Raw genomic sequence first — 13344 nt, 5'->3', positions numbered from 1 at the left:
TGTGCTGTGCAGGGTGTTTACACGGTGAGCCTGGAGTGCTGTGGAGGCTTCAGGGTGTATTCTGCTGTGGGAGCCACATGGAGCATATGGGTCTCACCTAATCTCTGACACTGACCACCCTTCTTTGCAGTGTGGAGGCTGCCAGCATTGGATTCATTGTTGTTATCGACAGACGAAGAGACAAGTGGAGCTCCGTAAAGGCATCCTTGACACGAATAGCTGTAAATATTTATTTTTGTGCTTTTATTATAAAAGTCATTTAAATTGTCTGTTCAACTATTTCATATCAAAGTCCTGGGGAAAAGGCAATTATTTTATGTCAAATTTTGGGAAGGTCTTTGTAACAGGTGCTGTTATGTCACATCCCTATCTCCTCTGCCATCTGCAGGTCACCTGCAAACAATTCTGAGCATGTCAAAGACTTCCTAAGTCTCTCTACCTTACTGACTTCTCTGGTCACTGAAGAGGGGCAGTTGGGGAGTGCTGGAAAGTTAATGCCCGGGGAGTAACCTGCAACCACTGAGTTAAAGGATTTGGTAGATAAATATCTCAGCTTCCAGATCCGCAGTGGGGCAATTCTGAGGTGTGTTCCACACAGTATCCCAGAGGGTCTCAGCCCCCTTTGCCTACGGCAGTAACCCCCTCATTGAGACATTGCCACTCTATTCATTGTTGTCTTCCTCCCTGCTCCCTCATTCGTGCTTCCTGGAATCACTTCCCCAACAAACTACCTGTACTTAAATCCTTGTCTGAGGATTTGCTTTGGGGGCAATTCAATTTAAGACAGTATTTATTATTTCAGTATTATTATTATTTTTGAAACAGTGTCTCACTCTGTCGCCCAGGCTGGAGTGCAGTGGCGCAATCTCAGCTGACTGCAACCTCTGCCTCCCGGGTTCGAGAGATTCTCCTGCCTCAGCCTCCCAAGTAGCTGAGATTGCAGGCGTGCACCACCACGCTTGGCTAATTTGTGTATTTTTAGTAGAGACGGGGTTTCACCATGTTGACTAGGCTGGTCTCGAACTCCTGACCTCAAGTGATCTGCCCACCTCAGCCTCCCAAAGTGTTGGGATTACAGGCTTGAGCCACTGCACCTAGCCAAATTATTTATTCATATATTAGAAAGACAATGGTAAAACCAGACACAATGATATTTAAGTAGCATGGTGGGAGGTGTGCTTGCATTTGCATTAAATTATATCACCTTGGATTGGCCTCCTTTTGCTTATAGTCTGATTTTGATCCCTATCTGTTGTCTTTCAGCAAGTAGATGTGTCCTTCCTCTGTAGGGACCTCAGACTTGTGAACTCCACCACAAGCAGAGACACCTTAGGGCCAGCTAAGTCAGCATTTTTACCTGAGCATAGGCCCTCTGGGGCAGTTGGGACTGGCTAAAGAGGATGGATGTGGTAGTGTGGTAAAGCAGGACAGGAGAGGGATATTTGAAACCTCACTTAAACCTGCTTGCAGAAGGAGTCACACATGCAAACATGCACACACACGGAGTCCCTCTCAGATCGCTCTAGAGCCTCATCCAAATTCACAAATTATGTCTCAGCTAATACTTTCCGTCTTGGCACAACAAAGCGCAAGGTTCTTCTGTTAGGAGCTTGCATTTAAAGATGGGGAAGAGAGTCCTCCCATTGCCGCATGGATTGTTTTCTCCCTTTAGTTTAGTTGTGGATATAGGATTTATCTTTGGGATAACTGCAGCCATGATTGATGCCCATGACTATTCCAGAGGTCTGGCCTCTAGAGAGTTCTGGCTTTCCAGGGTCCATACATAATACATGAGTAATCTAATGTCTGAGCCTAATTTGTCCCAGAATTACGTTGATCACTTTATATGTAAAACATGCTGTAGTGCAGGGATCCCCAAATCTGGCTACCTGCCAGAATCTCTTCAGGTGCTCGTTGAAAATACTGATACCTAGATTTCATCCCAGTCCTAATGAATCAAAATAGTCTGGAGTAAAGACCTGATTTAGAAAAAAAAAATCCCCATAGGAGGTTGCTTTGGGGGAACCACTGGAAGAATGGAAAGCCATGGCAGTTTCCATGGAGACCTGGGTTCCTAAGTCTGCCCCGAAGCATTACATGAACCTGCTCAGAATCTTGCCTTGCGATGTGGGCGATACTTTCTGAAAGCAACTTAGCAATAATATACATCAAGAATACTTAAAATACGAACTCTTTGATTCAGTAATTATTTTACGACTCTAGCCTAAGAAAATATTCCAAGATGTGGATAAAGGTGTTCGTCTCAGTATTATTTACAATAGTAAAATTATCAAAAAGCCTAAATGATTAACAATAAGGGATTGGTTAAATAAATTGTACACCCGTAAAAAATAATATTTCCAAAGAATTTATTAATAACAGGAATAAAAGCCTATGGTATAACATTAAGTGAGAAGGCCGGTTACAAAATATTTTAAGAATATGAGCCATGGTAAAGATATTTAAACAGAGAAAACATCCTATAAGTGAACAGATGGAAATATTAAGTATGGCTATAAAAACCCATGGGTGAGTTTTCACTTTCTAATGTATAGTTTTATTAATTTCCCAATTTTTCTATAAATAATATGAATTATTTTTATAATCAGAAAACATTTTTCTTGCTTGTTTGGTTTGCTTTGTTTTTTTAGGAGGGGTTAGGATTATCTGACCTCTAGGGTCTCTTTTAGCCCTGAAATCTGGTGAAATTTACATCCATGGCATCCGTTTTAACTTTTCCTTCTGTGATCTTAATCTTGGGCAAGGGGAGACCAAAGTAGACCCTGGTAACGAATATGACATTTTTCTCTCTCCTCCTGACACTTTTCCTGATGCTTGCAGGTGGCATTTCCAGGAAACTTACAGCTCATATTCATCCTTCGTCCATCTCGCTTTATCCAGAGGACATTCACTGACATTGGCATTAAATACTATCGAAATGAGTTTAAAACGAAAGTGCCGGTAAGCAAGACCTTTCATCTTGTCTCATTTGGTTAGGGCTTCTGGCTAAGATGGCATTTGGGCAGGGTTTCTGGGCAAGATAAGATTCAACAGGTAGAGAGGGAGAAAAGGGTTCTCTGGGCTGAGGGAACCGCATGTGTGAAGGCATAGAGGCAGGAAGTACACAATGGACTGAGGCCCATGGGAAGCCTCATTTTTGTTGGAGCACGTAAACAGTAATCTTTTGGAGGAAAGAGTAAGAAACAAGGACTAGATCTTCAGTGTGAGGAGGCAGGTTTTGGATTTTATTCAGTAGACAGTGGGGATCCAGGGAAGGTTTTCTTTTTTCTTTTTCTTTTTTTTTTTTTTTTTTGAGATAGAGTTTCGCTCCTGTCACCCAGGCTGGAGTACAATGGCACAATCTCGGCTCACCACAACCTTCGCCTCTCGGGTTCAAGTGATTCTCCTGCCTCAGCCTGCCAAGTAGCTGGGATTATAGGCATGCGCCACCATGCTTGGCTAATTTTTGTATTTTTAGTAGAGACGGGGTTTCTCCATGTTGATCAGGCTGGTCTCGAACTCCTGGCTTCAGGTGATACACCCGCATCGGCCTCCCAAAGTGCTGGGATTACAGACATGAGCCACCATGCCAGCCCCAGGGAAGGTTTTCTAGGTGGGAAGTGACATGGTAAAATTAGTCTGAAGGTGGTGTCTAAGATGATAGAAAGGGACTTGGGAGGAAGCTAAGTTGTACAGGTGAAACAAAACACGGATCTAAAATATAGGGGTGACATAAATCCAGGAAACTAAAGTAAAAAGTCAACATTGTGATTCTCAGAAGAGAAAAACAAATTAAAACTAAAACATTCAAAATTTTACCTATAACTTTGGCAAACAGATATGAGAAAACAAGCACTCTTATATTTCACTGGTAGGAATGGATTTGGTAATGAGCAATGTGAAGGACTAATTATCAGTATTTATAGAAAATTCAAATGTACACCCTCTTTCACCCATCTGTAAAGTTATTCTACAGATATTTTCACACATCTGCATGAAGCTGCTTAGACAGCGATATTCATTATTAAGCTGTTTATAAAGGTAAAAGATTGAGAATAACGTAATGCTTGACAATAGGGGACTGGTTAAATAATTAGCTACCCAATCAGTGAAATACTTTGTAGCCAATAAAAGTGGTAAGTTATGGTACAACCACAATGGAAACGGCTGATAGTTTCTTTTTTTTCTTCTTTTTTTTTTTTTTTTTTGAGATGGAGTCTTGCTCTGGTGCCCAGGCTGGAGTGCAGTGGCGCAATTTCAGCTCACTGCAACCTCCACCTCCTGGGTTCAAGCCATTCTCCTGCCTCTCCCAAGTAGCTGGGATTACAGGTGCCTGCCACCACGCCCAGCTAATTTTTGTATTTTCAGTAGAGACGGGGTTTTACCATGTTGGCCAGGCTGGTCTTGAACTTCTGACCTCAAGTAATCCACCCGCTTCAGCCTCCCAAAGTGCTGGGATTACAGGCGTGAGCCACTGTGCCTAGCTGATAGTTTCTTTAAACATACACCTAACCTATGACCCAACCAGAAGAAATGAAAACACAAATTCACAAAAAGACATACACAAGAATGTCCATCAGCTGGTCAGCGGAAAAGTATATACAAGTTGTGTCACATTTATATAATGTAAATACCATTAAGCAATAAAAAAGAGTGAAGTACTGATGCGTTCAACAACATGGATACATTTCAAATATATTCTCTTGAGAGAAAGAAGCTAGACACTGAACAGTATGATTATGATTCCTTTTAGAAAAATTTCAAAATAGGCAAAACTATGTTGTGATAGAAAATCAAAACAGTAGCTGCTGTTAGGGATGAGGGGTGGTGGAGACTAATTGGAAGGAGACAAAAGGAACTTTCTAGGAAATATTCCATATATATATATATATATATTTTTTTTTTGAGATGGAGTTTCACTCTGTTGCCCAGGCTGGAGTGCAGTGGCACAATCTTGGCTCACTGCAACCTCTGCCCCACACAGGTTCAAGCAATTCTCCTGCCTCAGCCTCCTGGGTAGCTGGGATTATAGGCACCCGCCACCACGCCTGGGTAATTTTTGCATTTTTAGTAGAGATGCGGTTCGAGACCAGCCATGTTGGCCAGGCTGGTCTCGAACTCCTGACCTCAGGTGATCCACCCACCTCAGCCTCCCAAAGTGCTGGGATTACAAGTGGGAGCCACCACGCCCGGCTAGGTTCCATATCTTGATTGGGTGGTGTTACATGTCTATATACATTTATCAAAATGAATTGAACTCTATCCTTAAAATTTAAGCATTTTAGTCCATTGAAAAATAAAAAATAGATAACATGAGTCTATAGTGATTACATATTACATTTTCTAATATATATTCTTGGATGTTTTATGTTTAGTTGAAACTAATTTCAAACTCAACAGAAAAGTTGCAAGAATAAGAATAGCACAAAGAATATCACATGCCCTTTGTCCAGATTCACCCACCCATTGTTAACATTTTATCATCATCTGATTATTTCTTATCATTTGCTTCTCTCTATATATACTTATATGATATATATATACACATAAGAATGTTATATATTTATGTTTACTTAGAATAATATTTTTACAGTTACATGTATTATGTATGTATTACCTTAGTTTGTTCGTGCCGCTATAATAAAATACTGCAGACTCAATAATTTATAAAGAACAGAAATTTATTTGTCACAGTTCTGGAGGTTGGGAAGTCCACAATCAAGGTGCCACCAAGTTTGGTGTCTGGTGAGGGACCCAGTCTCTCCTTCCAAGATGGCATGCTGTTGCTCCCTCCTTGGGAGGTGACGAACGCTTTGGCCTCACATGGAAGGAGAATGGAAGAGCAAAAGAAGCAAACTCACTCCCTCAAGCCCTTTATGTTTTGTTTTGTTTTGATTTTAGAGATGGGGTCTCTCTCTGTCACCCAGGCTAGAGTGCAATAGCTTAGGATCATAGCTCACTGCAGCCTCGAACTTCTGGGCTTGAGCGATCATCCTGGCCAGGTTGCTGGGACTGCAGGCACACACCACCATGCCTGGCTGATTTTTTAATTTTTTTTAGAGAGGGGGTTTTGCTGTGTTGCCCAGACTGGTCTCAAACTCCTGGGCTCAACCTATCCTCCTGCCTGGGCCTCCCTAAATGCTGGGATTATAGGTGTGAGCCACTATGCTCAGCTACCCTCAAGCCTTTTCTAAGGGTGTTAATCCCATCCATGAGGAAGGAGCCCTCATAACCTAATCACCTCCTAGCCCCACCTTCCAATATCATTACCTTGGTGACTAGGTTTCAACATATGAATTTTGGAGGGCAACATACATTGAAACCATAACATGTATTATAGTGTATATGTATGTTTAGAATATGTTTATGTATTTATATGTAGACTATGTTTATGTATTTATATGTATTGCTTCTGTATATGTATTGTAATGCATATGTATTTATCTGTATACTTAGAATAAATATACATATAAAGAGATCCATACACAATATATTTAATATGAATACATATATACAAGATATATGTAGAAGATCTACTCTAGGATTGGGTCGTGGATTTAGTTATCATATCTCATTAGTTTTCTTTAATCTAAAACATTTTCATAGCCTTTCTTTGTCTTTTTTCTTTTTCTTTTTTTTTTTTAAGACAGAGTCTCTCTCTGTTGCCCAGGCTGGAGTGCAGTGGTGCCATCACAGCTCACTGCAGCCTCCATCTCCTGGGCTCAATGTATCCACCCACCTCAGATTCCTGAGTAGCTGCTACCACAGGTACGCACCACCAGCACGCTGCACCATGCAGGCTATTTTTAAAATTTTTTTGTAGAAATGGAGTTTCACCATGTTGCCCAGACTGGTCTCAAACTCCTGGACTCAAGCCATCTGTCCGCCTTAGCCTCCCAAAGGGCTGAGATTACAGGCATGAGCCATTGTGCCTGGCCCTTTCTTTGTCTTTTTTTTTTTTTTTTTTGAAATGGAGTTTTGCTCTTGTCGCCCAGGCTGGAGTGCAATGGCGCAATCTCAGCTCACTGGAACATCTGCCTCCCAGGTTCAAGCAATTCTCCTGCCTCAGCCTCCCGAGTAGCTGGGATTACAGGTGCCTGCCATTACATCCGGATAATTTTTGTATTTTTTTTTTAGTAGAGACAGGGTTTCACCATGTTGGCCAGGCTGGTCTCGAACTCCTGACCTCAGGTGATCCACCCACCTCAGCCTCCCAAAGTGCCGGTATTACAGGCGTGAGTCACCATGCCCGGCCCTTTCTTTGTCTTTTATGCTACTTAAGTGATACATGTCCTTCTTGGAGTATCGCCTGGAGGCCCACGGTGCTCATCTGTCCCCTATTGGTGATGTGAATTTTGATCCCCTAGTCAAAGTGTTGTCCACTTTCCCAAATATTAAATAGATTCTTTCCCTTGCAACTAACAATCTTTGCAGAGACACTTTAAGATCATGCAAATATCCTGCTCCTCAAAAAAGTCCAATCTCTCTTTAGTATCCATTAAAGATTCTTGCCTGAAACAACCTTTATTTATTGGTTACAAAATAATGATTATCCAACTCCAGCACTCTCATCATTTACTAATCAGAAGTTGGTATTTTACTGTAAGCTAGAGCTTTCCCTTCTCACCTATTTGTCTATTATCGTTTTGGATTCTTAGTTTTTCAGTGGTTTGTCATTCATTGCCATTCTCAATTATCGTGGTGCTCCAGCTGTCCCAGATTTGGCCAGCGGGAACCCCTTCAAGCTGACTCTTGTGTCCTTGTGACATGTCCCTATCATTTTTTTTTTTTTTTTTTTTGGCACTTCCTTACTTTCTGGCCTAATATGATCATCTAGGCCCCTCTCAGGCATGCTCTGATCCAGCTTTGTTACCGGCCATTTCTCTTAAGAGCCCTGGTTCCTTTTGGTGTTGAAAATATTAGAGTCCAAGATCTGGATGCAAGATGTGCTATTACTACTTGGTATCTTTGTTTTTAGGCTCTTTCAGCAGACAGAAGCTGTAAATATATGCACGTATATGCACATATACATGTACACATTTGTAATTACAAATATCCTAGAAATCACAACTTCATACTGATACCTTAAATTTCAGTCCATGTAAGATGTATATTTAAGTGAGGGTAAAGTCAAGGGGAGAACAGTGTATCCAGTAAGTTCCCATTTGGATAAAATAAGAGGGCTATATGTATGATTGTGCATAGATCATCTTGAGAAGGATACACAAGATATACAAGAAGCTGGTTAAAGTGGTTGCCTTCTGGATCTCCACCTAGATGGCTGGGAGTAAGTGGGAAGGGGGAGGATTTTTCTATTTAGATAGACTTTTTCTGTTCAAATTTATTACTATCTATAAATATTATCTGTTCAAAATTAACAAAAAATAGCTTTAATTAAAATTACTCTGAAAGAGGGCTGGACGCAGTGGCTCAAGCCTATAATCCCAACATTTTGGGAGGCTGAGGTGGGCAGATCATCTGGGGTCAGGAGTTCAAGACCAGCCTGGCCAACATGGCAAAACCCTGTCTCTACTAAAAATACAAAAATTAGTCAGGCATGGTGGCATATGCCTGTAGTCCTAGCTACTCGGGGGGCTGAGGCAGGAGAATTGCTTGAACCTGGGAGGCGGAGGTTGCAGTGAGATGAGATCACACCACTGCACTCCAACCTGGGCGACAGAGCAAGGCTCTGTCTCAAAAAATAAATAAAAATAAAATTACCCTGAAAGAATATTAAACCCATCTCAGTGAAGACTTGCCATCTTAGACAAGGGATTTTTCTCATTTTTCTCTCTCCTTTCCTACTCTTATTTTCCTTGTTTTGGTTCCATCCTGTATTAATAATCAAATTTCTGAAAATCCTTTCTTTTCTACTTTGGGGATTAGCCAAACTCAAAATGAATTTCCCATTCTATTTTAAATACTCATTTTTGAAACACTTGAGTGTTTAAGGAAAATGTGAGGCCTGAGTTCTTTGCTCAGTTTTCCTAACTTGAGTAACTGTTGATGTTTGGGAAGAGATGGAGACTGACAAGAAGCCGATGACGTGTCATCATCTTCACGAGTCCCTTCGTGACTCCCCTTCAGAAATGAAGACTCATCAATTCTTCTTGCCACTCAAAAACGTTTGGAGTTGGAACTGAGCATTTGACCAAATGTCACGCGTATTTCCCTGATTGCATATAAAACACGTGTTTTATACATATGATACATATGATCTAGGTGTGCTCATATGTACACAGATACATTTGTGACTTATGCCCTCCTTCTCAGGTGATGCATCTACACCTAGGAGGGACTGAACATCTACTTTATCTCGATATTCTGACTTTAGCTACCTCTATTTGTGGTAGTGTAGGTTGATTCCCTGCCTGACCTGCTTTTAATTTTAAACTTAAAATCAACTTTTGAAAAAGCTCTCAGTCACCCAAACCCTGGGCACATTGAGTAGGGCATTCTTTAATGCAAGTTCACTCCGTAAGTAACCATTTCACCTGACGCACAAGGTCACACTCCCTGGTAGCGCTGATGCTCCAGAAACGGCAGAGTCTGAAGTTATCAAGCTTAATGAAATCTAACTTCTCAATACGTGTTGCCTTCTCAATGACAGTTCAAACTGTCAGTTTATCTTCTTTATTTTTAAAACGTGTTGTGATATTAGCACTTTACTTTGTAGCTTCCTAGCCTCTCTTATATTATAACATCTTCCTGGTCATTTCTAGTTAGATAATTACATTTTCACGTGTTGGGGGGAAAGGAGTTTATTTTGTGTGACTGGTATAGGAATCAGGTGGGTCAAGGATGTAATTGTAGCCAAGTGACAGCCTCCCTCTACCTTTATCTATGGAGGGGAAGTACTTTCATGTAGTAAATGGTTTTTGTTTGTTTTTGTTTTGTTTTGTTTGAAACTGTGTCTTGCTCTGTCACCCAGGCTGGAGTGCCGTGGCTCCATCAGGACTCACTGCAGCCTCAACCTCCTGGGCTCAAGTGATCCTCCTGCCTTGGCCTCCCAGTAGATGGTTTCTGAGTCCCTGTTGCTGGCCAGGCACTTCCCTATTCTGGAACAGCTGTACTCATAGCAGCCTCATAAAACTGTTAATGTGAAGTCACCAAGGCAGTCTTGTAAAACTCCTGAAGAGGCTATGATCGTGGAAATTGGTTGCTTAAAATGGAGTTTGTGTCAGAATACAGGAAATGCTTCTTGTGCAGTTAAAAGACCATGTATTTCTTTGAAAGAACGGTTTTAAGCATCTATAGATAAGAACACAAATGTATACAGAAAAGGAAAAGAAACAAGACATTTTTAGCTTTTAACAATTGTTACAAGAATATGCACGTATGGTAAAGTTGGTGGGGCCACAGGAAGAGACAGGCTTGGAAGGAAGAAGTTTATAATATCCACATGTCCAGGGGTCGGGGTCACCTCACGCCGCATGGGCTACTGGGGAAGCACCAAGCTTTGGTCAGGAGGCAGAAGAAGGAGGCAGAGGAAAGTCTAGGACAGAGCGTTTACTGGAGTTCTGCAGGCAAAGCAAGGCAGGATTTAGTATGGACTAGTTTGAATAACTCCTGCAGTCTTTGGGGTATAAGGATTGTCTCTTTGTTACATGGCACCTGGCCCTGGGATGACTTAGGGCAAGGTAAACAATGGCCTGGTGTGTGAGAGTTTGATAAGGTGGTGGTTGGGGATTTGGATTTGAGACTGGTTGTTTTGCGTATGAAAGACCTGCTCCCAGCTAACCCCTTCCCTGTCTCTAAGAAGTGGTTAGCCCTGGGGTGGGGGTGGCGGGGCAGTCTCTTCCTAGTCATGGAGGCCACAAATGCCAGAGCCTCAAGAGTACAGAAAATAAGAAAATGTGGCTCATGTAATTGACCCTGTAATGAGAGGATGCCAAATAGACAAAAACAGAATCCAAGAAAAGACAGAAAAAATGTTTTAAGGCCAGTTTTACATGCTTAGTGTGTCCTGTGGGTTTGATGAGCACAATTATTCTGCCTTTTTTCTTCACTATATAGAATATAAAAACTTTTTAAACATTTCTATCCTGTAAAGATTAAAAGAAGAAAAAAAATGTGGGGAAACTGCCTCTCATTTGTTTTTGAAAATTTACATCAGGTAAAATTCACTCTCTTTGGTGTACAGTTCTATGAAGTTTGACAAATGCGTGGTGTTATCCAGTCACCACAATAAAGATACAGAACAGCCCCATCACCACGCAAAACTTCCTCACTCTGCCCTTTTGTAGCCAGCCCCTCTCCCCATCCCTAATCCCTGGCTGCCACTGATCTGCTCTCCATCCTTATAGTTTTGCCTTTTTGCAGAGAGTCATACAAATGCAATTCCAGCCATGTGCTGCATAACAACATTTTGGTCAACAACGGACCACATATACAGTGGTGGTCCCATAAAATTATAAAACTCTATTTTTACTGTACTTTTTAAAAAAAGTTTTTCCTTTCCTTTCCTTTTCCTTTTCCTTTCCTTTTTTTCTTCTTCTTTTTTTTTTTTTTTTTTCAAGACAGGGTCTTGCTCTGTCACCTGGGCAGGAGTGCAGTGGTGTGATCATGGCTCAGTGTAACCTCAGACTCTGGGGCTCAAGCTATCCTCCCACCTCAGCCTCTTCAGTAGCTGGGACTACAGGTGCGCACCACCATGCCCGGCTGATTTTTTTTTTTAATTTATTTTTTGTAGAGACAGGGGTTTCCTTGTATTGCCCATGCTGGCCTTGAACTCCTGGGCTCAAACGATCCTCCTGTGTCAGCCTCCCAAAGTGTTGGGATTACATATGTGAGCCACTGCCCCGGCCCCTTTTCTGTGTTTAGATGTGTTTAGATACAGAAATACTTTCCATTGTGTTATACTTGCCTACAATGTTCAGTACAGTAACATGCTGTACAGGCTTGTAGCCTAGGCACAATAGGTTACACCAGTTAGCCCATGCATGTAGCAGGCTGTCCCATCTAGGTTTGTGTAAATGCACTTTATGACTGAATAGCAACAAAATTGCCTAATGGCGATTTTCTCAGAATTGATCTCTGTCATTAAGTGACACATGACTGTGTATACTGGGTAGCCTTTGAGTCTGAGTCTGACTTCTTTCACTTAGCATAAAACAGTTGGGGTTCATCCATGTTGCTGGGTATGCCCATAGTTCTTTCCTTTCATTGCTGAATATTATCTCACATTATAGAGGTCCCTGTTTATCTGTTCACCATTCACCAGGAAAGAACATTTGAGTTGTTTCTAGTTTTTAGTGATTAAGGATAAAGCTGCAGCCAAACATGGTGGCTCACACCTGTAATCCCAAAACTTTGGGAGGTTGAGGTGGGTGGATCACCTAAGGTCAGGAGTTCGAGACCAGCCTGGCCAACATGGTGAAACCCCGTCTCTACTAAAAATACAGAAATTAGCTGGGCATGGTGGGTGTGCCTGTAGTCCCAGCTACTCTGGAGGCTGAGGCAGGAGAATTGCTGAGGCAGAGGTTGCAGTGAGCCGAGATCATGCCACTGCACTCCAGCCTGGGCGACAGAGCGAGACGCTGTCTCAAAGAAAAAAAAAGAATAAAGCTGCTATAAACATTCACATACATGTGTTTGCTGGGCCACAGAGTAGGTTTATGTTTAACTTTAAAAGAAATTGCCAAACTGTTTTTGCAAAGTGGCTCTATCATTTTGCATTCCCACCAGCAATGTATGTGAATTCCAGCTACTTCATACTCTTACCACCTTTTCAAAAACGAGGGTATTTTTTTAATTAGTCATTTAATAGGCATGTTGTGGTATCTCACTGTGGTTTTAATTTGCTATTTCCTAATGATTCATGATATTGAGCCTCTTTTCATGTATTTATTTTCCATCTGTATATGTTCTTTGGTGATGCTTCTGTTCAAATCTTTTGCCCTTTTTTAATTGGGTTTTTGTTTTCACATTGTTGGGTTTTGAGAGTTCTTTATATGTTCTGGATATAAATCACTGTCTGATATATGACTTGCAAATATTTTCTCTCAGTTTGTAGGTTGGATTTTCATTCTCTTAACAGTGTCTTTTGCAGAGCAAATGTTTTTAATTTGGATGAAGTCCAGCTTATCAGCTTTTCTTTTATGGGTTATGCTTTTGGTGCCATATCACAGAACTCTTTGCCTAACCCAAATATTTCTCCTAAAATTTCTCTGAGAAAACACTTTCTCTACTCACACAACACTTCTGACAACTAATGTGTAGGCTGCTTTTTTTTTTTTTTCACACCAAGCAGTTCTCCAACTGTCTAGACACCAATCAGGGGCTCTACAATTCAATTCAGACACTGAAGTTAGCATCAGATCCCACAAGTTGAGGGCTCAGTCC

The 13344-nt window shown here is 41.3% G+C and overlaps 1 protein-coding gene across 5 annotated transcripts in view; it reads left to right on the top strand.

Moving 5' to 3' along the window:
- Positions 1-13344, top strand: part of MCF2L2 (MCF.2 cell line derived transforming sequence-like 2) — a 250579-nt gene that overhangs the window by 86859 nt on the left and 150376 nt on the right. For all 5 annotated transcript variants that reach the window (NM_015078.4, XM_017005943.3, XM_017005945.3 and 2 more), the window contains exons 4-5: positions 131-221; positions 2842-2961. In NM_015078.4, the coding sequence (NP_055893.4) occupies positions 131-221; positions 2842-2961 (211 nt within the window). The remainder of the gene's footprint in view (positions 1-130; positions 222-2841; positions 2962-13344) is intronic.

This window comes from Homo sapiens, chromosome 3 (genome assembly GCF_000001405.40).
Source record: "Homo sapiens chromosome 3, GRCh38.p14 Primary Assembly".
In the NCBI taxonomy this organism is placed as follows: domain Eukaryota; kingdom Metazoa; phylum Chordata; class Mammalia; order Primates; family Hominidae; genus Homo; species Homo sapiens.
The sequence above is the reverse complement of the archived record's forward strand: the minus strand, read 5'-3'. Positions and strand labels throughout refer to the sequence as shown.